Below are 26,367 nucleotides of genomic sequence, written 5' to 3'. Positions count from 1 at the left end.
AATAGTCATTTCTTTGGAGAGAAAACTTACTGTAGAAAATGGAAATGTTTAATCTTATAAAATGCATCTTTTTAAAGAAACCCAGAGCATCTGTGAAGCAAAGCAATTAAACTAAATGTTAGCAACATAGGAGAGGAGAAATAACTGTCCATGTGTGAAAAGGAGACAGTGGGGCTTGGTAACTTAGGGGAAGAAGTGATGTTCAGGAGGCCTTAGGTGTTGCTTTAATATTCTCTGTACTGCTAGCTGTGAATCTAGACAAAAAATTGTATTATTCTCTGCTTCGGTTTTTTTCCTGACTTTAATTGGAAAATAATCACTTATCTCTCCTGCACATTGGATTGTGGACGAAAAAAATAGTGTAATTTGATAAGGAATTGTATAAGATTTGAAGTGCTTTAGGAATGTTCAATACAATGGTACCTGTCCCACCCAAAGCGATTTATAACAGAAAGCTCTGAAAGGATGTTGCTGAAACACTTTCATTTATAACCTGGCCTAAAGCGAAGTCTTAGGTAAGGTGTTTTATAGCGGAGCACACATGTTATATGTATGCTGTATAAAGGGAACTTTCCTATTTTCTATTCTCTTTTCTAATAGAGAAAAGATAGAACTCGTAAGGCAAATATTTTTCTTAACTATTAGCTCCAATCTCATTCTTCCAAATTTTTCTGGTTATTTTCAGAAGAAAAACTAAATTTAGGTCACACTTTCTTTCCTTCTCTCTTTCTCACAGTTAAATGGCCCAATGAAATGAACATTAATAAAAAAAAGCAGTAGGAATTGTGAATAGTTTACTGGACAGTTTGGTCTTAAACTTTAAATCATTGTCTTTATTATGTGGTTAAAATATATAAGGTAAATAGTGGGTCCTAAACCAGAAGGCTTTGATCCTAGGGTGTTCTATTTTTCATTTCTTAGAAGCCAACCAAATTTAAAACATGAAGAAAAAAATGGGAAATAATCATAAAGCATTGCTTGAGTTTCCAAACATATATAAAAAATAACAAACCCCCTTCATTGAGGTCAGGCACTGTTATAAATGAACTTGTCTCGTTCATTTATAACATTGTCTCATTCATTTATAACAACATCCCAATGAGGAAGGAGTCTATCATTTTTCATTTTGTGAAGAGCCAACTGTGGCCTAGACAAGGCAATTGAAACTTATTCCAGGTTGCTACAGCTTCTAAAAATAGGATGGACATTTTAAATGATGAAATTAAAAGGCAAATATTTTCTAAATTACCCAGTAGTACATATTCTTTGTTAAAAAAATCAATGATACAGGAAATCAAATTTTTAACAAATCATCAATAACTCTATATGTTTTTATGTGTGTATAATTATACACACACAAACAGAGTGAGAGAGAGAGAGAGATCTGAAAGATATGCAGTGAAATTATAGCATTGGCTAACCCTGGAGAAGAAAAGTGAGAAGGTACCAGGAATGGAAGTGATGGTTAAAAAAGTCTTTAGCTTTATTTTGAAAGTTCTGATTTTTTGCAAGAAGAATATTTTTTATGTAGTAGTTGTATAAACTTAATAATTTAAAAACCCTCAAAGAATGAGGACAGGAAGCCAAATTCCAGATTGAGTTTAATTTTCTTTGACCAGCCTCTTTGTCTCCTTTCTAGAGACTTCTTCATTACAATACCCAACCAAGAATGTTTAAAACTTTTCAAAGATAATGCATATGTGAGTTAATTGGTATAGCTAAAATTATGAAATCATTGATAATGAAGTATAAGACAGTATATGACGGCGGCTAAGTGCGTAGACCCTGAAGCCAGGATGTTGGGTTTGAATCTTGACTTCCTTGTTGTATGACCTCTCTATGCCTTAGTTTCCTCATTTATAAATTTGGGGTACTGATAGTACCTGTCTCTAGGTTGTTGTGAGACCTAAATGAATTTTCATCTGTGTAGTCCTTAGAACAGTAGCTGGCACGTAGTAAGTAATATAAAGGTTACTATTATTGTTATTGTATCCTGACACTTAGAAAAACTGGTGGTAGATTGTTATATATACATCCAGACTTTTTTCTATATATGTGTGTAAACATTTACATACACTTACACAGATACAGGCACGTTCACAGGAGTAAGTATATTTTTATTAAAATTGGATTATACTATTTCTATTTTTTTGTAATCTTTTACACTCAACACCATATAAATATCTTTCTATGCCATTAAATGAAATGACTGTTTAAAATAAAAATTAGATGCATTTGATCTTAACCAGCGTGATAGCATGGGTCCTTTTGACCAAATACATGAGCATAAGATAAAATTGAAAATGCTTGGGGCTATGCTGAAACCTGAAGTGCTTATTGATGTTGATATAGCTTACTTAAATGGTTGAATAGACACTGGCATATTCTACCTAAGATTATTATTACTTGCCTAAATTGTTAAGCAATGATGTCCAACATTTTTAATGTTTATCTTCAGAGCCAATATGAAAGATAGAAAGCTGTTTTTAAAGTGTCATGGGAGGAAAGACACTTGAATACCACTCTTTGTAAAGAAGTAAAATGATCTGTAAAAAGTATACTTGTTATTAATAGAATTATTTCTTCCTCCACCTCCTTCTGGCTTTTCAGGAGATGTTTCACAAAGCAGAAGAATTATTTTCTAAAACAACAAACAATGAAGTGGATGACATGGACACGTCAGATACCCAGTGGGGCTGGTTTTACTTGGCAGAATGTGGGAAGTGGCACATGTTTCAGGTACCTCCTTTCCTTTAATTTAGCAGAAGTGTTTTCGATTCACTTAGCATCACCTTGCTGATGTATGTAAAATGAGTATAAATATAGAACTTGAAGTCAAAGCTTAAGGAAATAAAATTGTTTAACTAAAAGAAAAGTTAGAAATTCTTCCAGTGCTTTTCCTTTTCTTTTCCCCAAGTTTTCACACTCATTTATTTAGAAGAAACAATAGAGGGTGAATGTGACTGAGAGTTGCATGGTGTCAGTACATCTGAGCAACTCCAAGTTTGGTTTGGTGGACAAAGAGAAAGGGAAGAACAAATCCGTATTAAACACTTCTGTATGCCAGGTATTATGTTAGGTGTTGTACATTGATTTTCTCCCTTATCCTCACAGTAACTTGGAAGCAGATGTTAACATTCTGTCTTACAGTCAAGGAAAGTGAAACTCACAAAAGTTGACATAATTTGTCAAGGGTCACACAGCTAGTTAAACTGAGATTTGAATCCGCACTCAAAACCTGTAGTCTTTTTTTTACTCTACTAAACTATATAAAGAAGATTTAACTTGAGCCACTTAGAAAGTATAATTATTGGAATAATCTGTAAAAATTGTAATTATCTGGAAAAATAACTATATTTCTATATATATCTGTTATTGAAGGGGACTATAACCAGTTGTCTCTTCACTGGAGATCCTTAAACCATTTTCAATATGCTGGCTTAGTTGTGATTCTCCCTGTGTGTTGGGAACTAGAACAGGTGATTAGTAAGTTTCCCTCGCCCCTCCATTCCCTGTCTCTATGACCACAGTACCACCTCTGTGGCCAAGTCATTAATGTGAACAGCTGGTAAATGAAACTTTCTGGTTTGTCTTAAAGCCGGATACCAACAGTCAGTGTTCAGTTAGCAGTGAAGATATCGAAAAAAGCTTCAAAACAAACCCTTGTGGCTCCATTTCTTTTACTACTTCCAAATTCAGCTACAAGATAGACTTTGCAGGTATGTTTTTTTCCCTAATAGTTGTGTGTTTTTAGTATATTGATATGATAAAATCTACAGCTCTGAAGGTCAGGATTAGTTGATATATTTGCAAACAGTGAAGTATATCTTTTTTGTTATATACAAAAATACCTCTATAAAAATTCAAGTTTTAAAATCTTGAGCAACATTGCCTTTTATAAAAGGTGTGTTTATATGTTTGTATATATTAATGTATGTGAAGATTGTCTTATATATTAAGTGCATTTAATACTTGTCTTCTAAGGAACACAAAACACCGTATCAGTTGTTTTATTCATCCCATCAGTCTTTTGAAATAGATAAGAACATTTAAGAACATTTTTACTTTTTTTTTTTTTTTTTTTGAGACGTCTCACTGTGTTGCCCAGGCTGGTGTGCAGTGGCATGATCTCGGCTCACTGCAGCCTCCGCCTCCCGGGTTCAAGCAATTCTCTGCCTCAGCCTCCCGAGTAGCTGGGATTACAGGCACCCGCCCCCACACCCGGCTAATTTTTTTGTATTTTTAGTAGAGACAGCGTTTCATCATGTTGACAAGGCTGGTCTTGAACTCCTGACCTCCTGATCCACCCGCCTCCACCTCCCAAAGTGCTGGGATTACAGGCGTGAGCCACCTTGCCTGGCCAGAACTTTTTTACTTTAAGGATCAAACAGATGTTAAGTGAGAAAGTCATAGGTAGCTGGCAATAGTTTCAAGAACAACTTTTAGCTGAGTGATCTTTCTCTCGATGTCTTTGTCAGAAAACAATTTCTTTAATGGACATTGCCTTCTGTCATTTTCTGATTGATTTGGCTCTTCCACAGATTAGCCAGATAATCTGGAAATCAGCCCCACTTTGGATTTCATCTGTGTTATATGGGCATGTTTTGGGGTATCCCATGAAAAACCTGATGAACTGAGCTCCTCAAGTTTCAGGCTGTTAGTTTCAGCTATTTATTGCTTAGAGGCAAACAAGACCTGGATGGGAGGCTTTCTTAATAAAAGTACATTTTGTTTGCTACACAGCTTGGTCCTTTAGCTGTTCTTTCTCAATTCCTGTGAGTAGTGTCTTTATGACAGTGTTAGTAGTGTATTGTGGCTGGGTAGGGTGGTGAAACGTTAGGAAATCCCCTTGGATGAACCAAGGCCCAGAAACAGTGAAGGGGATTTGTCCAGTAAGGGATTGATGGAACCAAATATGCAATAATTATTATCCCACCAAAGTTGTTTTTCTTGCTTTTTTTTTTAATTATCAAGAGTTAAAAACCATTAGATCCTTGCTCGTGACAAGCCATTTTTTTTTTAATGCCATTAGGCAAATAAGCAGGATTTAAGAGGCCCTGACATTTGTCCCTCTGTTGCAGTCTAGGCAGAAGGTATCTGGTAGGCATTTTTAGTCATGTGTACAAGTATTTTTGAGGAAGAACTGAAACCGAATGATATGCACAGACACCAGACCTCATGTAGAGGATGAACTGTATCAAAGCATTTGATAGGTAATTCAGCAAGCCACATGTTTCTGAAAGAATATTTTTTAGTAGACTACACTTTTTGGAAACTTGCTCTCAGAAAAAAGAGTTTATTAAAAATATCATTATTAAGGAATGGGAGTTACATATACTAATAACTGGAGTTCCCCAACCCTCTGTGTAATGATCCTGTTTCAGAGGCATGGATATTAGCATTTCACATGTACTCTTTGCAGTTATCAGCTCCAACCATTCTGCCACTAGCCAACTCAGGTTTTCTCTATAAAAATGGTGAAAAGTAAACTAAAAAATGAGATGGTCCAAGAAGATGGCATCACAGGTCTTGCTCCACATGCTGAGATGATCTTGCTTTTTCCCTGAACAGTGGTAAATCCAGTATGTGTAGAGTCTAGGAGAACACAGAAAGGACAGAACACACTTTATACTAGCCTTAGCCTGGGTGGGTAAACATAATCATTTTGAAATGGAATGATGTCAATTAGATGAGATAAACTGGCTAGAATCTTACATTAAGAATCACTACTTAACTTTGAGGAATGAAGAAATGGACCTGGTAAATATTGGTATGACTGAGGCATGGATGAAAGCAGAAAATGATACCTTTAAGTACTTAGTCTCTTATCACTAGAATCTTTTTATGTAAGTTTGTACTGGGTCTAGCCAGGTTTTCTATTTTTTAGGTTTAGTTATATAATTAAAGAGAAATCAGGAAATGTAGAAATTTTTGAAATTCTGTGAGTTGTACAAGTTTTATAATCATTTCCAAAATTTTTGGAGAGATGAAAGTACATTTTTCTTCTTAATAAACCAACCACATTTAATACTGTAATTTCTCTCTTTCTAGTACTCTTAGCTTTCCTAAGTTTAGAACTCTCCTAGTTTAGTGTCTGTTTAACCTAAGTGTGATACAGAAGGGGAATAGACCGTGCATACTGAGCAGTGGATGAAATGAGCATCTTTATGTGTGAGCTTACGTCAAGCAATGAAGCTGTGCTTCCTTGAATAACACCTCCACAACGTGGTACATAGCTAGCTGCATGGTAAAGTACCCATAATACACTATGCTTGCCAGCTACTCCCGAAGCTCCATGATTCCTGATCATCGCGTAGCGTGGCTATTAATCTTCATGACACTTTATAGTACAGTGTACTTTTATGACTTATCTAATATCTTGTCTTTGTATACAGAAATGAAGCAAATGAATCTCACCACTGGAAAGCAGCGCTTAATAAAAAGAGCCCCCTTTTCTATCAGTGCTTTCAGGTATGGTAAAGAGAATAGGGGTGGAAAGAGTGGGTTTTTTTTTTCTTACTATTGGACAGAAAAACAAATAGACTGGAAATATTTTGGTAGGTCATTTAATAATATTGATCTTTTAAATATCAAATCTTGGGCCAGGCGCAGTGGCTCACACCTGTAATCCCAGCACTTTGGGAGGCCGAGGCGGCCTGATCACGAGTCAGGAGATCGAGACCATCTTGGCTAACACACGGTGAATCCCCGTCTCTACTAAAAATACAAAAAAAATTAGCTGGATGTGGTGGCAGGTGCCTGTGGTCCCAGCTACTCGGGAGGCTGAGTCAGGAGAATGGTGTGAACCCGTGAGGCGGAGCTTGAAGTGAGCCGAGATGGCACCACTGCGCCACTCCAACCTGGGCGACAGAGTGAGACTCCATCTCAAAAAAATAAACTAATTAATTAAAAAAATATCAAATCTCTCATTTGTTGACAAAATAGCAACATTATTATTTACTCTAAGTGCTTCCTTTCATGTTATCCTTTTCCTTCTTGTATATTTACATTTTTTAATTCTTTAGAACAGTTTGCAGTTACAAAATGCCTTATGGTCTCTGCTCTAAACTCATAAAATAACTCACTGAGGTAAGTTTAAATTGTTAACTTGGACGTACTCTCTCAGAGCCATACAATTACTGGGGCCGTAAGAATTAGGTAGTTGTTCACTTTGTTTCCACCTACATTGATCTCCATTGGTCAACTCCTAGAAGTAATTTCAAATTTGTAGAGACTAAGGGAGCCATAGGGAAGATGGTAGAACAGTGGACAACAGTATTGCTTTCTGTTCCCTGGAACTTGGTTACAAATTTTCTTTTTTGCTTGCTCTGGCCATAAGAAGTCTGAAAAAGGAGGTATAAATGTCAGAAGACAATACATATTTATTATTCATGTGAATGAATGGACTTGAAGGAAAAAATCTTAAAGCATGTCTCCTATTTTCTAAAATGACTCTTCAAGCAAGTATTGAAATTCTTTTTTGTTCAAATAATTTAAAATGAAACTGGAAAAAAAAAAAGGTAGCATGTTAATTGCAGGGAATGCCTATTTGCTCCTTCCAAGGAGATTTTTGAAAGGATTAAAGAAAGAAATATTTTAAGTTTCTGTCAGTTTGTTTCTCAAGACTTTTGGTTTTATTTTAGCATTTATTTTGGTTTTATTTTAGCATCACGATATAAAAGTTATTCCAAGTACTTATAAAATGAATGCTCTAGTACTTCTGTGGAATATAGAGAATAGTATTTCCTTACTAGCTACGTCATATCCACATTCTTTAGTACAAATAATATAATAAAAGAATTACTTATCTTCAGAAAGTATTTAATCTGGGAGAAAAATGAAAAATGAGACATAATAATGGAAGATGTTATTGTAATTGTACATTGTATCTGCTGTGCTTTGGTGGAGACAAGAAACACTGTGATGGGATCAAACACTTTGTTCTGTCACAGACTGTACAAACCATAGAACAAAGACAGCACAAGGAGAGAACTAAGCAGAATGGAGGACAATAAGCAAGATAATAATAAAAGGAGAGGACTGTTTAGGTAAGATACAATAGGGTGTTGAAGGTCAGTAGGTGCTGATATAGAAATATTTATTTACTGTGGGAATACATTGAGCATTTATCACATGCAAGGTAGGTAATACATGCTTCCTGTTGGCAAGGAGTTCTTTAAGGCTGTTGACTACATAAAAACTAAAAAAATTTTTTGGTCATAGCTAAAAGATACTTTAGGCCAAGTGTGTTTTAGGCATTTTTTTCCCTCACAGAAAATTGGGGAAATATTTTTATTCATTGTTGTAGTTGAAGGGATATTCTCCATATTATATGAAGTACTTTTAGGACTCTCTAAATAGAAGATCAACATGGGCAAACAATTTGAACAGTTCATACAACCTCACTCATAATAGGAGAAAAACAAATTAATACCAGACTAATTTTTACTACCAGATTGACTAAAATTCAAAAGTTTGATCACACACCTTTTTGGAGTGGTTGTGGGAAAACAGATGATTTCTATATTTCTGGTGAGAATGTCAGTAGGTACATTCAAAGACAGCATTTGGTTGGTGTCTGTTAAAATCATGAAAAAATATATTCTTTGACTCAGAAATTCTGTTTCAAATATGTTATTTTACAGATAAACAAGTGGACATGTAACATGACAGATGAACAAATGTGTTCCTGTAGCATTTTTTTTTTTTTTTTGAGACAGAGTCTTACTCTGTTGCCCAGGCTGGAGTGCAGTGGTGCCATCTTGGCTCACTGCAGCCTCCGCCTCCCAGGTTCAAGTGATTCTCCTGTCTCAGCCTCCCGAGTAGCTGAGATTACAGCCGCACGCCACCATGCCTGGCTACTTTTTTGTATTTTAGTAGAGATGGGGTTTCACTCTGTTGCCCAGGCTGGTCTCGAACTCCTAAGCTCAGGCAATCCATCTGCCTCTGCCTCCCAAAGTGTTGGGATTATAGGCATGAGCCACCGCGCCCAGCCAGCTTTCTTAATGCAGTAGCAAAAAGTTGGAGGCAAGCTAAATATTATTATGGTGTATCCACATGGCGGAGTTCTGTGCGTCTGTAAAATAGAATGCATTCATTCATTCATCCAGTACTTACTGAGTGTGTACTATGTGCCAGGCTCTGTCGTAAGCACTAGGAATAATGATGCTCTCTATGCACTGTTACAGAAAGATCTCTAAGAAGCTATGAAGTAAAAACCAAAAAAACAGGTGCAATAAATGTATGCTTTATGCTACCATCTGTGTGAGCAAAAAGCTTGGCTTGTATTAACCTAAAGAAGCTCTGGAAGAATACCCAAGAAACTAATTACCAGGAGATGGGGCAAAAAGTGAGACTTGGACATACCAGGGACTGGAGTGGGAGGAAAACTTCTCACTGTATATTTCTTCACACATATTAATTTTTAAATCACCTATTTGATTTTTTTCATTAAAATAAGTTTGAAAAAAGTAAACTAAAGATCGGTTTGAAATTTATTAATTTATTTAGTAACCTCCAATCACTGGAGGCGATTGGTGTGTCATGTTCAGCCTTTTGCTATTAAATCCCTCAACATCACTGTTTTTCTGTATTCACATCGGGTGGCTTGAACATGTCTGATAGTTTTTAAGATTTACTGACTGACTGTGCTAATAACCCTTAAAGGTAGTGGACTGTTGGAGAGAATAGTGGGCAATTAACAGAGAAGGGTTTAGGTTTGAGTTAGAACTTGGAGAACATCGAATGAATGGTTGAGGAGTTTTGATTTTATTCAATAGACAATATAAATACGAGTTTCAGCCTTTTGTTTTCATCAGGAGCTTGATTTTGTTTTTAATTTCTTTGCCTAAAATCTTCTTTACATTTTAAAGAAATTTTGGAAATTTCAAAAAAAACAAGACAGAACTAAGCAACTGTTTTTGAAATTTTTATGATATATAGGGTTGGATATTTTCCATCAAAAGTTCACTATTGAACACCTAAAAAGTAGCACACATAGACAGTCAATAATTTTTTTTTTTTTTTTTTTGAGACGGAGTCTCGCCCTGTCGCCCAGGCTGGAGTGCAGTGGCGCAATCTCGGCTCACTGCAAGCTCCGCCTCCCGGGTTCACGCCATTCTCCTGCCTCAGCCTCCCGAGTAGCTGGGACTACAGGCGCCCGCCCCCACGCCTGGCTAATTTTTTTGTATTTTTAGTAGAGACGGGGTTTCACCGTGTTAGCCAGGATGGTCTCGATCTCCTGACCTCGTGATCCGCTCGCCTCGGCCTCCCAAAGTGCTGGGATTACAGGCGTGAGCCACCGCGCCCGGCCGACAGTCAATAATTTTTAAATGAAGAAACGGAAGGCTGTATTTAATTGCATTTGTCACAATACCCTGAAAATGAAAATTAAGCTTTGAAGAAGGGCTAAGTTCTTGACAGTAATTGTAATCGGCTTCTGATATTTTGTTTTCTCTTTTGCTGTTTCAAGTTACATCTGTGAAAACGAGGCCATCCCTATGCCACCACACTGGGAGAATGTGAATACTCAAGTACCATATCAGGTAAGAGCAGAATTGACTGAATATACCCATGAAAGAAACCGGAAATGACTGCAGTAAATCTATGCAAATTTATTTTTCCAGCTTATTCCTCTGCACAATCAAACACATGAATATAATGAAGTTGCTAATCTCTTTGGGAAGACGATGGATCGCAACCGAATTAAAAGAATTCAGAGAATTCAAAACCTAGATTTGTGGGAGTTCTTTTGCAGGTGAGATGATTTCTAATCTGAAACTTCTCCTTTCCACTATGTCTTTTATGGTTAAAACATAAATATTGAATTGTATTAATTTTCAGTGGTGTAGACATGCTGTTTTTCTCTTGCCGTATTTTGACCTGGTCTCAAGGCTCTTCAGCATTCTCAGGGAGTGAAAGAGGTGCTCTGTAAACTTTGCTTGTAGCATTGCAATGTGAGAAGCTCCTTCCTTTCAAGGTTTAGAGCTATGCATCTTGGCTGAAATCAGCATTACAGAGGAGTGTCAGAGCTGTTTAGCTTTGTTGATATGACTTCCTTGGCTAAGCCTTTTATTAGAAGTCTCTGCAAACACTGTTTTGTTTTTAAATCATACTATCTTGCCAATAGTCTTTTGTCTGTTTTATTTTAAAGAACACTTTAAAACATACCTTCAAATTTCCTGCTTAGCCTAAAGTTTATTTTGTAGATTTAAAATCTCAATTCCTTACTGGATTTAAGTGGGAAATGACCCATTAAGTTGGGTGACTTAACCAAAGTAAAGTCCATTACAGAAAACTTTAAGCTATTAAAGGTATTATCCAAATTAGCCTGTTCTGCCATATTTTTTATGACATGTAAAAAATTAAAATAAGCGGTTCTCTGAAATATTTTCAATTAACATTTGTAGATGAGATTTGGTGTCTAATATTTTTAAATATGTAAGCTGACTTTTAACTTTTTATTCAGAGAAATTGCAAATAAACACAAAAGTAGAGTCTAATATAATGAACCTCATGTATCCGTCATCCTGATTCAACACCTATCAAGATTTACCACACATAAACTATCTCCTTTTTTGTTATTATTGTTGTTGCTGAAGTATTTTTAAGCAAATCCCAGACCATAACTCATTTCATTTCTATATACCTGAGAATTAGGCTGACTTTTGTTTGGTAATGATACATGGAATTCTTTCATGGTTCTGACTAGTTAATATGGCCTGCGTACATTTCAGGTTTTATTCTCATAATAGTTTATGGTAATAAGGGGCTTTCAGCTTGTGTTCTTTATAGTCTTGGGTCTATTGGCCAAACCAACTTTTATTTCTGACAATAACTGAGTTTAACTGAGTTTAGACAGTTTAATTTAGTTCTTGTTTAGATGATTCTTTTATAGAGGAAGACAGAAGCCTCTGCCTCCTTTGACTTTATTCTCTCAGTGAATAAAGTAAGTTTTTCTGAAATAGTCTGATGAAAATTTAATTCATTATTCTTCATCAGCCCTCTGAAGTGGAGATCAAATTGGTCTCCCCCATAACTTGAGTCCCCAGTTAAATCATAGTGGTAAAAATGTACCAGTGACTCCCTAGAACATTTTATACTAAGAATTCCAATGGGAACAGTTTTACTCTGGTGATGCCCTTCACGGTTTTATGTAATGACATAAATTACATAATGACATAGAAATCTGTGATGGTAAGTGAACCTGCCACCTGCCATGACAGTACAAAATACTGAGTCTCATTATAAGGGCAGCGTGTCATTTTGACATCATCCTGAAGAACTAAAATAACTTTGTCTGTCTCACTGTCACATAACCTATGACTCACCATATAGGTAGTCAGGCCCACGTGAGTCCATCCAGCAATAGTTTTCAAATTGCCTAGGCCTCTCTTACTTTCCCCACTTCTTCTAACAAAAATGTCTTAGTACCTACTTTATGACAAGCACTGTTCTGGGCACTTGGGATATAATGGTACAGAGAACCATAGCTTGGAGAGCCAGACCATTGTAACACAGAAATGTAGGGGTCAGCACAGGGAGTCATGGGAGCACAAAGTGAGGGGACCCATCCACCTTTGCCAACAAAAGTAGGGGATGTGGAGTGGAGTGGGTAGAATTAGGGAGCCCCAGACACCAGTTGGATAGGAGAAGGGCATCTCAGGCATCAGGGGCAGTAAGAACCAAAGTCTGGATATAAGAGGGAGCGCAGAAAATTGAAGCAGCTTCAGATTGAACAGAAATTAGGTAGAATGGTGAGAGAGGAGGCTAGAATGGTATCAAGAGGCAGAGCATGCAGGAGTTTGTAGTAGCACCACTGGGGTGGTTGTGTGATCGTCTTTAGTAGCCTTAGTTGAGTTGGATTGAACCAGAGTGGAAGTCAGAGAGTTAGCGGGGGCTAGACCACGTGGGGCCTTATAAGCTAAACTAAGAGGTTTGGATTTTTTCCTGGGACAGTAGAATGCCATTGTAGAACTTTAAGCAAGAGAGTGATGGATCTGATCTGCATTTTAGAAAAATAATTAGGCTGTGTGGTGGAGAAGGGATTTAAAGCAGTGGTTCTCAACTGGGAGTGATTTTACCTGCTGGGGGACATTTGGTAATGACTGGAGTCATTTTTGATTGTTAATATGGCAGGGTGGGGGTGCTCCTGGCATCTACTGGATAGAAGCCAGGATGCTAAACATCCTACAATGCATGACACAACAAAGAAGAAGCCTTTCACAACAAAGAAGTGTCCAACACAAAATCTCAGTAATTGAAATCCCAGTTCATAGCAGAGAGACCAGTTTAGGAAATTGTTTCAGTAATTAAACTGAGACACGTTGGGTTGCCTGACCCAAAGTGGTATCTGCTGTGTTGGAGCAAAGAAGAGAGTTTTGAGGTATTAAGATTATAGAATGGTAGGGCTTGGCGCCTCACTTATTGTATGCGATGGAGTGAATAAGGGAGATGAGAAAGATAACTCCCAAGTTTTTGGCTTGTTTTACTTGACTAAGGGAATATCAGTAGGGACATCTTTAGGGATGATGGAAAGGGAGTATTAGTTGATATACAGCAGTTGACATATGGGTCAGGAGTTGAGAAGAGTGGTGTAGACTAGAGACAAAGGTTTTGGAGTTGTTAGAAAATGTGGGGTAATAGAAACTATAGGAATGAAGAAGATGACCAGGGAGCGTATGTACATTAAGAAAAGAAGAGGGCCAAGGGTCAAATTCTGGAAGGGATGAACAGAGGAAGAGAAAACCCAAGGAGGAAACTGACAACCACAGAAAGCGGGAGAAAACCAATAGAAGATGTAATCACAGAAGCTGGAGGGAGAATGTGGTTTACACAAGTAGGTGCCATCTGTACGATTACATACTGAAAAGATGTCAAGTAAGATAAATTTGAAAAGTTCCTTTGCATTTTTCAATAAGAAGGCCATTGGTAACTTAGATGAAGGCAAGGTTGGTAGACATCATATTGTGTATACAGCAAATGTTGACAACTTTTTCAAGAAGCTTGGCAGTGAGGAGGATGAGAGATGTGAGAAGACAGCTAATGTGGGATTATTGTTATGTTATGTTTTTAAAATTTAATCATGGGAGAGAACTGAACATTGTAATTGGAAAGGACCTATGGAGAAGGAGAATTTAAAAGACTTAGAGAAAGAGTGGAAGGGCAGTTGATGGATTCTAGCTCCTGAAGAAGTGTGGTGAGATGAAATTCTGAGAACATATGTCAGAAAGGAGATAGAGAAGGGTGGTCCAGTTATGTTTACAGATAAGTAGAGGTAGAGGACGAAAAGAGGAGTTAGGTTAAGGAGTTCTTTTCTGATACCTTCCGTTTCTTTTGTGAAGGAAGAAGGGAGGTCACCTACAGCGAATGAAGTGTAGGGAGGTGTTGATAAGAGGGAAAGAAAAGGGGAAAGAGGAGATTTGAAATGGCTACTGTGGAAAATGGGGTAGAACGAGCTGTCTTGGGAACCACAGGATTTCTGTCAGCGTTGAGGGCTTAGCTAAAGTATGTGAATTTATAGGGCAAACCATGTTATGTAATGTACTTCAGCAGTACAAATGTAAGGGCAGATAGTGGAAATGGTTGGATTGATCCAGAGCTGGGAAGTATAAGGCAGCAAGGAAATAAGAGCATCTTGTTAATAATGTGAATTTAGATCAGAGATTCTCAAAGCTAGTTGCAGGTCAGAATCGCCAGTGGAATTTACTAGCAAGTAGAGATACCTGTCACCCGCCACAGATCTACTGAATCAGAACCTCTGGGTTCTGACATTTTTACCTTAAAAAATTCCATAAGTGGCTCTGATGTTCAGCAGGATGACAGGTGTTCTAAATCTAGGCAAATTTATTTTAATCCAGAGCATGAAAGTATTCTTGCTCCAGTGCAGAGCATGTGGCATACACACTTTAGCCAGTTTGGCACTCTAGTCCCTAAGAGGTGGATAATTTTGAGACATCTTTGAGAAGTGGGTGCGACAGTACTTTCAGTAAGTTCGGGAATGATTGTGGATCTGGGCAAAGGTGGGCAGGGTTGTGAAGAACTTAGTGTAGTTCTGTGACTTTCCTTGCAGATGTAACTAAAGTTCATGAGGCCCTGGAAATCACCTTTAGCCTTTCTGGAACACCAAGGTCATAGTCTGTGAATGTCCGCATTTCGTGGCTGCCTTAGTAGTGGGAGTAGTGGGCACTAGAACAAACTGTGCTGTGGGGATACAAAGCTTTAACCACCATGCCCCTGCCCTCTGCCTTCAACTGGTATATATGCACCATCTAATCTAGTAAGTAAGCGTTGTTTTCCATGCCTGCCTATGCCCATACTCCATGCCCTTTAACCCACAGTTTATTTATAATATCTAAGAGAAACTCCAGTGAATTTTCAAACCGAGATTCAATCGAATTTGTGCCCGAAAAGTAGTGATAAATGAATTTTTTTTTTTTTGAGACAGAATCTCTTTCTGACACCCAAGCTGGAGTGCAGTGGCGCGATCTCAGCTCACTGCAAGTTCCGCCTCCGGGGTTCATGCCATTCTCCTGCCTCAGCCTCCTGAGTAGCTGGGACTACAGGCGCCCGCCACCACGCCTGGCTAATTTTTTGTATTTTTAGTAGAGACAGGGTTTCACCATGTTAGCTAGGATGGTCTGGATCTTCTGACCTCGTGATCCGCCCACCTCAGCCTCCCAAAGTGCTGGAATTACAGGCGTGAGCCTCTGCGCCTGGCCTTCTTTTTGAGATGGAGTCTTGCTCTGTTCCCCAGGCTGCAGTGCGGTGGCACAATCTCAGCTCATTACAACCTCCGCCTCCTGGATTCAAGTAATTCTCCTGCCTCAGCCTCCCAAGTAGCTGGGATTACAGGTGTGTGCCACCACACCCAGCTAATTTTTGTATCTTTTAGTAGAGACAGAATTTCCTTAGAGTGGATTCTAGTCATTGCAGATCATGAAGCACAACATTGACAAGTTTGACATTACAGACCATGAAGCCTGGCATTATGTATGATACTAATGTTTCTTTGAGAAAACCAGTATGGATTCACTAATGCCAAACTAACTAATAGGATTACCATAGTGGTAGATGGATAGGCCCCTTAGACAGTCTAGCTTGGTTTCTCACTTTATAGTGGTTGAGAAAGTTTCTTTTCAGGAAGACAAGATGGAGAAATATGTGCTGGTGGGTATTTCAAAGAGAAAAACTAGTAGACAAAAAGTCTTACGCAAAGAGTAACTCGAAAGGCATGCATGCTCTCTTCTTGGATCCTTCAAAATTTTTATCAGAAATGGATGAAAATGTAGAGGGCTTGCTTATCACACTTGTGAGGGATTCAAAACTAGAAGGGGTAGCTTATTTGTTGAGTGAGTGAATCAGCAGTCAGAAAGACCTTGGAAGATTGAAACAGTGGGTAAAAACAAGTATTATCTTCTTTTTTTAATTTAAAAAACTTTTTTCGTTTGTTTTTATAAAGGGAACAAATGCGCCTTGTTTAAAAAAAGTGAGAACATAAAGTTCTGAAAAAGGAAGTTCTTAGTGAAAGCATGCTGACTTTTTGTAAAGTAAACATTTGCTAAATGCACGACCTTCTGATGTCATGCTTAATGGTCTGAAAAGACTGTCACAAATAGATCAAAGCATATACATTTAAATTTTGATACATACTGCCAAGTGACTCTTGAGAAAGACCGTATGCGTTTTCATCTCTGTCACCATTTAAATGCAGGTATCCATTCCCAAACATATTCAACGAGCTGCCTATCATTTACAGAACTCAGTCTGAGATACGGATATTTTACTGTTATTTAATTTTTACTTTTTAAATTACTATATCAAGTAAAGCTTAACTGAAATCTATTGCATTCAGTTTATAAATCAGTTGCACAGATTTAGCAAGCTAAGAGAGGTCTGGTTTGGAAAAGTCCTGGGAGTTTTAACCGACTACACACTTGATTATGGATGCAGTTTGCTGCCCTGTTACCAAAATACATTCAGTGGTGTCGGTGGAGTCAGTGCTGTCTGATGATATCTGGACTGTTGCTATTTCATGCCAACATTTATAAACTAGAAAGTATCCAGCAGATTCTTGTTAACTAAAGACTGTTGGGATAAAGAAAGACCTAGAAGCTATGCTGTGTCAGGAGTGGTTGAAGGAATGGTGTATATTTAACCAAGAAAAGAAAGCCTAGGTAGGTGTTCAAATTTGCAATGTTGTTTTGTGTAAGAGTGATTTGAGTTGTTAATGTTCATAAGAGAATAACTAAGACCAATCAATAGAAGTAACAGAAGGCAGATTTGGTTTGGCATTGAGATGGATGTACTTTCCAACTATTACAGCTGATCACAAATAAATTGTGCTGTTTTGCAAAGTGAGCACGTGATGCTGTGAGTACTTGACACTGGATGAATTGAAGCAGGCATTAAAGAGCTATCAGAAGCCGGGGGAGGGGATTCTTTTTAATTTTTAAAATATGATTTTTATGAAATGTTTCAAGAATGAAAATGCAGCAAATAGTTTGCAGACTCCCATGTATCTACCAATCAGATTTAACATTTTGATACTTGTCACATTTCCTTCCTCTTCACACAGATACAGGTGAAGTGTTTACTCCATCCCTGTCCTACTCTCCTTCTTTCCTCCTGAGATTGGTATGGTGCCTTATTGTTTGTATTTTGTATTTTTTACTACCTGTGTATGTATACCTACATAATACACAGTATTATTTTGAGTTCTCTATCTCTTTTTGCAAAATTCTTTTTACATTCAATATTATTTTTTAAGATTTACTATGTTAATGCACATAGATCTACTTCATTACTTTTAACTTTTATATGTAAATACATGACTATATTCATTTCTCTGTGAAATAATTTTAGGCTGTTTTCAGTTTTTGTTTTCTGTTACAATCAGTCCTACATTAAATATGCTTTTATGTGTTAGGATAGATTTATCCTTGGGAAGAGGATTAAACTGGATGGCTTAATGTCCCTCCCAACCCTATGGTGCAAAATTTAGTCAACTGAACCAACATTTTCTAGTTTCTGAGGATAAAAAGCATATGACATGATCCCTGCTCAAGGAATTCACTGTCTAAAGTCTCTGCAAACTTTGTATTACTTGTTTGTTGTCTCATTTTTAGGCATCTATAAAGGTTAGCTGGTTTAGACAATCAATTACCTTTATGATATTGGGGCATAGCATGGGATAACTATAGTTTTTGGCATAATTTTCAACCTTAAGTTTCAGTGTTAACTAATAATTTTTGATGAGATGATTTATGTGTCCAAGAACATTTGAAATTATTTCTTTTCTAGACTTGCTTTGTCCACTTGTTATTTATATTAAAGTATTTCCTGTTTTACGCTTTCTATTGAACCTTGCTCATTAAGATTAATAAATGCTACTTATGGTATATTTCTGTGTGCTTTTGTGTCTGTGTATATTGTGTTTTTAGGAAAAAGGCTCAGCTCAAGAAAAAAAGAGGTGTGCCTCAGATTAATGAACAAATGCTGTTTCATGGTACCAGCAGTGAATTTGTGGAAGCAATCTGCATTCATAACTTTGATTGGAGAATAAATGGTATACATGGTGCTGTCTTTGGAAAAGGTAATTATCAGAATTCCAGGTCCAATTTGAGCCCCAGGAGAGAGTTTCCTCTTTTTAGAGGAATATAAATATAAATATGAACTGCTTTATGGCAAATATATAGAGAATGATAAAACAAATGGATTATAATTGCATTGTGTACGAGAATAGATACTAGTGTTTTTGTTTTATTTTGTTTTTAAGAAAATCATAGGTAAGAATATTAGTGAGCAATAAGGAATAGTGGGGGAAAACTTCACGTTATTTATAATGTTGTGAAAATCCAAGTTTTTCAATTTATGTCTGGTACTCAGGCAAATTAAGGAGAGAGGTGAGGGGAAAAGGTATGGGATGTACATTTAATTTTCTGGTCCTTACTTTGTACCTTGCTTCCAGCAAGAGAACTGACTACTGTTTAGGATCAGGATATGCTGCATTTTGAAAATGTAAATTAATTTAAAAAATAACTACTAAAAAGGCCATTCCACTTATTTAACTGTAAGGAGGTCAGAAGGTGTTACATAAATCCCATCAGTGTTAGGTAAATATGAGACTTTGCAATTCATTTCCACATTTTTTTAGAGTAAGAATGCCCTTAATGATGTCTATCTCTTGTGTCTACCATTTCAGAAGAGTTGGCTGCTTTATCGAGTTTTCATGTGTAGGCAGTGAGCCAGTAAAATCATTTTTGTTTTGGAATGCTCAGATATGAATAGCATTATACTCTCTCAGAAATCTTTTCATGGATATGGGATTCTATTGTTTCCAGAAATATTACTGAATTGTTATCCCATATCATAGAAATACGGTTTCTTGGGGTTTAAAAGAATCCCTGTAGGCCATCGGTTTCCACTGTGCTCTCTAGAGCTTTGCTGGATGTTGACAAGGGAACAGGGTGAGGAAGTGGTGAAAGGAAATAGAAACGGGAGGGAGGGCCAAGCAGTAAAACTCAGGGCCGGGCATGGTGGCTCACGCCTGTAATCCCAGCAGTTTGGGAGGTCGAGGCAGGTGGATCACCTGAGGTCAAGAGTTCAAGATCAGCCTGGCCAACATGGTGAAACCCTGTCTCTACTAAAAAAATATAAAAATTAGTTGGGTGTGGTGGCACGCGCCTGTAATCCCAGCTACTCAGGAGGCTGAGGGAGGAGAATCGCTTGAACCTGGGAGGCGGAGGTTGCAGTGAGCTGAGATCGCGCCACTGCACTCCAGCTTGGGAGACAGAGCAAGACTCTGTCTCAAAAAAACAGAACAAAACAAAACTCAGGTCCAACCACACTTTTAATCATTAAACCAGTTTTATCTGTTTTATTAATTGTTTTCTTTGTAAGATTTATTTTAAAAACAGAAGTCTGATAGCTATATTTTGGTGGGGGCAGGGGATGGTGTTGGTGGTGAGGACTGGTCTGTACCAACAAATCTATTCCTATGGCAGTCTATACTACAGCTGTCCATAACAGATGGATTTCTATTCTTCTCTTAAAGATCTGCAGATGAGGAAATTCCACATCTATTTTTATTATACAATTCTATGCATCTATTCTCCTGACAAAATGTTTTTGCTTGTTTTTAATATATTCTTCGGAGTAATCTTGGCTTTTCTTGGTCCTCTTTGTTTAAGGAACCTATTTTGCTAGAGATGCTGCTTATTCCAGTCGTTTCTGCAAAGATGACATAAAGCATGGGAACACATTCCAAATTCATGGTGTCAGCTTGCAACAGCGGCATCTGTTTAGAACATATAAATCTATGTTTCTTGCTCGAGTGCTAATTGGAGATTACATAAACGGAGACTCCAAATACATGCGACCTCCTTCCAAAGACGGGAGCTATGTGAATTTATATGACAGCTGTGTGGATGATACCTGGAACCCAAAGATCTTTGTGGTTTTTGATGCCAACCAAATCTATCCTGAGTACTTGATAGACTTTCATTGATTTCACTTCCAAATCTCGGTGGTCAAGGAAGCTTTATTCTTTTTTGCAGGAAGGTTTGCTCTTCAGTCATCTAGCCACTAAATGTTAATTATCTGATACTTTTGAAACAGATATGAAAAAAAGTGGCCTCCATATAAAAAGACATACTGACTTCAAGGTTGGTTTTTGTTGTTTTGTTTTTGCCTGTTTCTTGTAGTCTTGTTTGTTAAAAGTTGATATCATTGATGTTTTAACACATAGGGGTGAAAGATACCATTCAAAATGGAATCAGCTGAGTCTCAACTAATGTGGTCATTGAGATCTTTAAAGTTTACGTGTGTGTTATCAGGATAAATGATTTTAGTTTAAATAGACTTATTCGTATAAATGTTGAAAAAAAATACAGACATAAATGTGTCCCTTTAGAGGAATTGATCCTTTGTAAATTGAATTCAGGTAGTAGTATCATCCACCAATCCATCTGTTGCTTTGTTGGTCTTCTGAAGGGGGGATTTAAAACTCTGAAACAGTCTGAGCACCTTGAGAGAAATCAGAAACAAGACAATTATTTGCAGTGCTGTCAAACAAGCCAGAAGGAGAAAATCAAGGTAGAATGCCCCACTTTCCAGTTGCCTTAGGATAGCAGGCTGCAGCCTCAGACTTGATCCTGTCATTCTCCTCTGTCTCCCACATCTGAATTGATAATTGCTGCAAAATGTCATTAGCCTACACTTCATCCATCAGGGCTCTTGGATTCTTACACCACGACTTGCTGTGCAAGGTGTTTATTGCATCTTCAAAGTGAAACTTTAAATTATTATTCAAACATTTATTTTCCTTTTGTTTTAAAAAGAGTCCCTACAATGATCACTTCTAAGATTTTTTTTTACCTTCCCCTCTGCAGCACACACAGCTATTCAACAATGATTTCTAAAATTCATATTTCAAATTTGTATCTCTCCATTTTGAAACATTATAGAAAGCATGGGATGCTTGAGACAAATCTGGTTTCTCCTTTGAAGTAGCTGTTGACAACCTACTCTCTTGAAAAGTTAGATATAATTCTTAATCATGTTTAGTGGAAATTTGTTTACCTGTTCCATCTGTTTTGCTGTTTCATTGTAAGGAAGATGAGAAGTGTTGGAACAGCTTCCCTCCCCTAAAGGTATTCTAGCAGAGGCGAGACAGCAACTTGGCGGGCATGTTGCATAGGAGTTAAGTACCAGATGGGGAATTGCCCATGTGATGGTGAAGAGTCTCTCACATTGATTTTCTTCCTTTTCTCCTCTTCTCTCCTCCTTCTCTTCTCTCCTCTTTCTCTTCTCTTCTTTCTCTTCTCTTCTGTCTTCCTCTTCCTCTTCTCTTCCTCTCCTCTTCCTCTTTCTCTCTCTTCCTTTTTCTCTTCCTCTTTCTCTTTCTCTTTCTCTTCTCTTCTCTCTCTCTTCCTTCCTTCTTTCTTTCCTTCCTTCCTTCCTTCCTTCCTTCCTTCCTTCCTTCTTTCCCTCCCTCCCTCCCTCCCTCCTCCCTTTTTCTTTTTCTTTCTTTTTTTTTGGTTTGGCAGAGTCTTGCTCTGTTGCCCAGGCTGCAGTGCAGTGGTGTGATCTCGGCTCACTGCAACCTCCACCTCCCGGGTTCAAGCAATTCTCTTGCCTCAGCTTCTCCAGTTACTGGGACTACAGGTGCATACCACCATGCCCGGCTAATTTTTGTATTTTTAGTAGAGGCGGGGTTTTGTCATGTTGGCCAGGCTGATCTCAAACTCCTGACCTCAGGTGATCCGCCTGCCTCAGCCTTCCAAAGTGCTGAGATTACAGGCATGAGCCGCTGTACCCGGCCTGATTTTCTATGATTCTGCCTTTAAAAGACAGCACGTATACCAAGCCTTTTTCAGAAAGCTTTTCTCTTAACTCCTTCTAATGCTGAATTTTCTCTCTATTATCCTCACCCAATTTTGGCTGAGAGTTAGTGTACACAATTTAACTTCTTAGAAAAATTCCAGTGTCTATGCTTATATTGCTCACTTGAATCATTTGAATTAGAAAGGGATCTACAAATAATAAAAGCAAAGAGTGCAGACAGATTAGGGATAGTAATTCTTAAAGTGCCATCTATCCCAGATTTCCGTTATAGACCAGCATATGTGTAATTGTGCAGTGGGAGGTAAGTAGTACCCAGGACATTGCATGTACAATACTTTGAAACAAAGTGGCAACAAAGATTTCCTGGCTCAGGTATGCACCCCAGCTGCTGGTTTAGATGAAGTGCTGAGAATATTTAGAAAAAGCGCTTTAAAAAGCATCTAGAGATTATCATGAAAATAATTGGAGACAAAGTCACTAGGCTGCTTTGTGAGAGGCAGCATACCATGGCTCTAAACCCGTTCACAAAAAACAATGTTAGAGACATTAGGAATTCAGGTTTTGAAAATCTTTTTTTCGATTTATTTGTAATTTACATACCAAAAAACCACATTAAAATAGTCCTCCCTTCAACATGGCTATCTTTTTTCAAGTTTTATATGCATAGCTCTCTCAGCACTTGAATGGAAAAACTGTTACAGCATTTGGGAGTTGTTTTTCTTTTAGACTTTGCAGATCTTATCTCAAGGTGACTAGGAACCCAGAGCTAAGTATCTGTGAGGCAATCTCTGCGAACGCTGAACTTACCTAGTTGGTTTCTATGAAATATGTAGAATGCACTGCAGTAGCCATTGTAAGAAGGTACTATACCGGTTTTTTGGGGCTTGTTGTTGTTGTTTGGTCTGAGAATGTACTGCCAACCCCTCTTTTATAAGAGAGAACTGATTTTGATACATATTTTAAAATATGATAGTACAGAGTTAATGGATGTTAAAATTTTATTTCTTTGTTTTGGTAAGTAGATTAAATCGAGAATCATATAATCAGTACATTTGAGAATTATATAACCAGTATATAATAATACTGGACACAACCATTTGCCATCTTTTCCTGTTATCATCCCATAGAGTGGGTGGGGAGAATGAATAGACATAAACCTAGAATAATGATAAATGGTTTTTAAAACTCTATATTGAATACATTCCAGCTGATAATGACTTTTCTTTTTCACCTTGGTGATATCAGCCTCAGGGTAAAAAAAAAAGTTTCATAAATCTTTTAGTTATAAACAGGAAAGTTTTATATTAGTGTGTCATTTCATTTCTAGACTGTTGATGGTGATGATGATAAAGAATTTGGAGCCAATTTTGATATATGAATGTATTGCTTTTACATGTGATGATTAAAGCTCTCCATTAGCAGTTCTTGGTTGTCTGTGTATATCATATATTTGTTTCTGTGACTTATGTATCTCATCTCCACCTTGTATTATTTAAACCTAAGTTTTCAGCTCAATCTTAGTGGACCCAAGGAGTTTGTTGCCTGTAACTCATATGTACCCCACTTGCGGATGGGGGAAGTCTCTTGTTCTTAGTTTGAATCATCATGAGCAATAGCTAATCAAATAACCTATGGGAAAAATCATTTACTGTGTGCTATTATAAAAAAAAATCCCCAAACAGGCCAAGAGTTGGCATCTGCAGCATTTTTTATTCTTGGTGTGCTCCCCTGGCTCAGCGGAACAGCTCTGTAGGGTGTGTCTGCCTTCATCCAAGGAGTATCCTTCCTACAGCCCATCTAACCTCCAGCCACTCGCACTGTGTCTACCATCATTCCTGTTGAACTGAGTTAAACATTCCGTTCAACCTTTGGCAAGAAAGGATGGTATCAAAGGCTCTCCTCAGGTTAGAACTGAGAGAAATGAGGGGCAGAATGATTGACTCATTGTGATAAAAATTCAATTGAGCTTTGATTGTTGATCTAGAAGAGCCACATCCTTCCAAATTCTGTTCCCTAGCCATTCGAGTGTTTGTGATTACCTCCCAAATTGCTAGGAATAACACGAGAAACAATCTTATGGTGATCCTAGTTGTGTCGCCTCCAGATTTTCCACTCTCCTTAAGGATTATTTGTTTATTTTAAAATATTTTCTTTTGCTTAAAACAACGAGACAGTCAATTTCTAGATGAAATTATACACTCTGTACTTGTAAAAGAGATAAAAGGTAATGAAAAATAGCACGGAAAGGAAAAAAAAGACCCTTGTCAAAAATTAGTGTTGATTAGAAACTTTAACAAAGTGATTTTAGTTATTTTTATCCCTTTGCACTCTATGCAGGAAGAGTTTTGGTGATACGAGATAGTCTGCCACACTTTCTTATGAATCATTTCATAATGTTACTTGGGGCAACACAGATGGAAGAAATGAACATTTCAAAGAACTATGAAATACATAATTATTTGCGGGCTGCCTGATTAGTGTGAGTAATATATGCCGGGAGAGGTGAGCCCTGAATATCCAGGAGAGAAGTTGAAAGTTCATGTTTTAACCTTGACTTTTTAGCAGTGGTAGTTTACTTCTCATGTCTTCAGAAACTCTAGGATGGAAGGTGGTTTGGGGACTTACATCTCTCTCTTTCCTCCTGTCTCCTTCCTATATTGAGCTCTACTTGATCCATCTCAGGTAAAAGGATGTCTCAGTTATTTCTAAACCCAAACAGTAAATTCCTTGTAACTGATCTGAGTCTCCTGCTGTAAGATTTTGTAACCCATTTTCTCAGCTTTAATTGCTTGGCTTCCATTTGTCAGCACTACAGGCCAAGCACCTGGCTATTTGAATTCTCTCACCGTGTGGCTGCGTATCTAAGAATTTAGACACTGTCTTACTTATTTTTAAGTGGCTTTTCATAAGATTGGAGCATAGGTTTTATGCCAAAGACATTTGTGTTTTCTGCAGCTTCTTAGCATTGCTGGACCCTCTACCAAGAGGTTATACGGTAAGCTGATTCTGATTCTGTGGCTTATGCTGACTTCATGATTGTAAACCAACTTAAGGAGAGTCACCATCCAGAATTTAATGAAATCATCTTTGCAATATTGATTATACATCCAGACTGCACTTGTGTTTTCCTTTTTAAAAATACCTTTTCCTGAAGGGCTCATTATGCTTTAATGTCTCCTAGATAACATGTGGAAGCTGTAGGCATTATAAGCCCACGTTTGATGAACAGTCTCAGAGAATCAGCGTGCAAGCTCATTTCCTCCACTTTATTCCTATAAGAAGAAGATCAAGCCTCAACTTGGGAGCCAGCTGATCTGAATTTTATTCCTGGCTTTGCTGTCTGATTCAGTGTGACCTTGGATAACTCACCAGAGAGGGAAGGTTCACTTTTCAGAAGGTGAAGTTTATGATAGACCAATCAGACTCTCGTTGAGAGAAAAAGACCTGACGGAGCACAGCTAGATTTTCCTAGGCAACATCTGACCTGACTGAAGATGATTTTTGAGTTTGGGTCGGGAAAATACAATAGCAGGGATCATGATGCATTGAGAAGAAGCAAGGGCTTGCAGTAGGAAGGAAAAAGAATGGACCTGGTTGTCCATGAAACTCTGCCACTAATTAGTTTCCCCACTCCCTTTCTAGTTCACAGCTCTGAATTCTTGTGGCGTGCCAGGGACTGAACAAGTCAGACATGGCCTCTGCTCTCATGGAACTTAAAGTCTAGCAGGGAAGACATAATGAACTGTAATGACAAGAGTGATGAACTTTCCTGAAGGGGAAGTTCAGGCCACTGTGAGGCTCTGACAGAGGGATTTCACCTGTCCTCAGGAATTAGGGAAGGCTTTCCTGGGGAGTGACATTTGAATGTGAAGATAGAAAGATAAGTAGATGTTAATTAAGGGAAGGAGGATTTTATGTCCCCCAGCCACACCCATCTGTGCCATATCAGGCTTTGGAGAGATGAGAAAAACCAGATAGGGGTAGAAGCAAAGTTGGAACATTGTTTTTATCATTAAAACAAAG

The 26,367-nt window shown here is 37.7% G+C and overlaps 1 protein-coding gene across 6 annotated transcripts in view; it reads left to right on the top strand.

Moving 5' to 3' along the window:
* Positions 1-23,768, top strand: part of PARP11 (poly(ADP-ribose) polymerase family member 11) — a 64,539-nt gene extending 40,771 nt beyond the window's left edge. For 2 of the 6 annotated variants that reach the window (NM_001286521.2, NM_001286522.2), the window contains 6 exons: positions 2,611-2,739; positions 6,396-6,471; positions 10,472-10,544; positions 10,626-10,756; positions 18,441-18,592; positions 20,190-23,768. In NM_001286521.2, the coding sequence (NP_001273450.1) occupies positions 2,715-2,739; positions 6,396-6,471; positions 10,472-10,544; positions 10,626-10,756; positions 18,441-18,592; positions 20,190-20,506 (774 nt within the window). In that variant the 5' untranslated portion in view covers positions 2,611-2,714 and the 3' untranslated portion in view covers positions 20,507-23,768. Of the gene's footprint in view, positions 1-2,610; positions 2,740-3,598; positions 3,720-6,395; positions 6,472-10,471; positions 10,545-10,625; positions 10,757-17,575; positions 18,401-18,440; positions 18,593-20,189 lie in introns of those variants that run through there. The other 4 variants (NR_104461.2, XM_047429175.1, NM_020367.6 and 1 more) reach the window with 4 other exon arrangements.
* Positions 23,769-26,367: the final 2,599 nt, after the last annotated feature.

Source organism: Homo sapiens, chromosome 12 (genome assembly GCF_000001405.40).
Source record: "Homo sapiens chromosome 12, GRCh38.p14 Primary Assembly".
In the NCBI taxonomy this organism is placed as follows: Eukaryota; Metazoa; Chordata; class Mammalia; order Primates; family Hominidae; genus Homo; species Homo sapiens.
The sequence above is the reverse complement of the archived record's forward strand: the minus strand, read 5'-3'. Positions and strand labels throughout refer to the sequence as shown.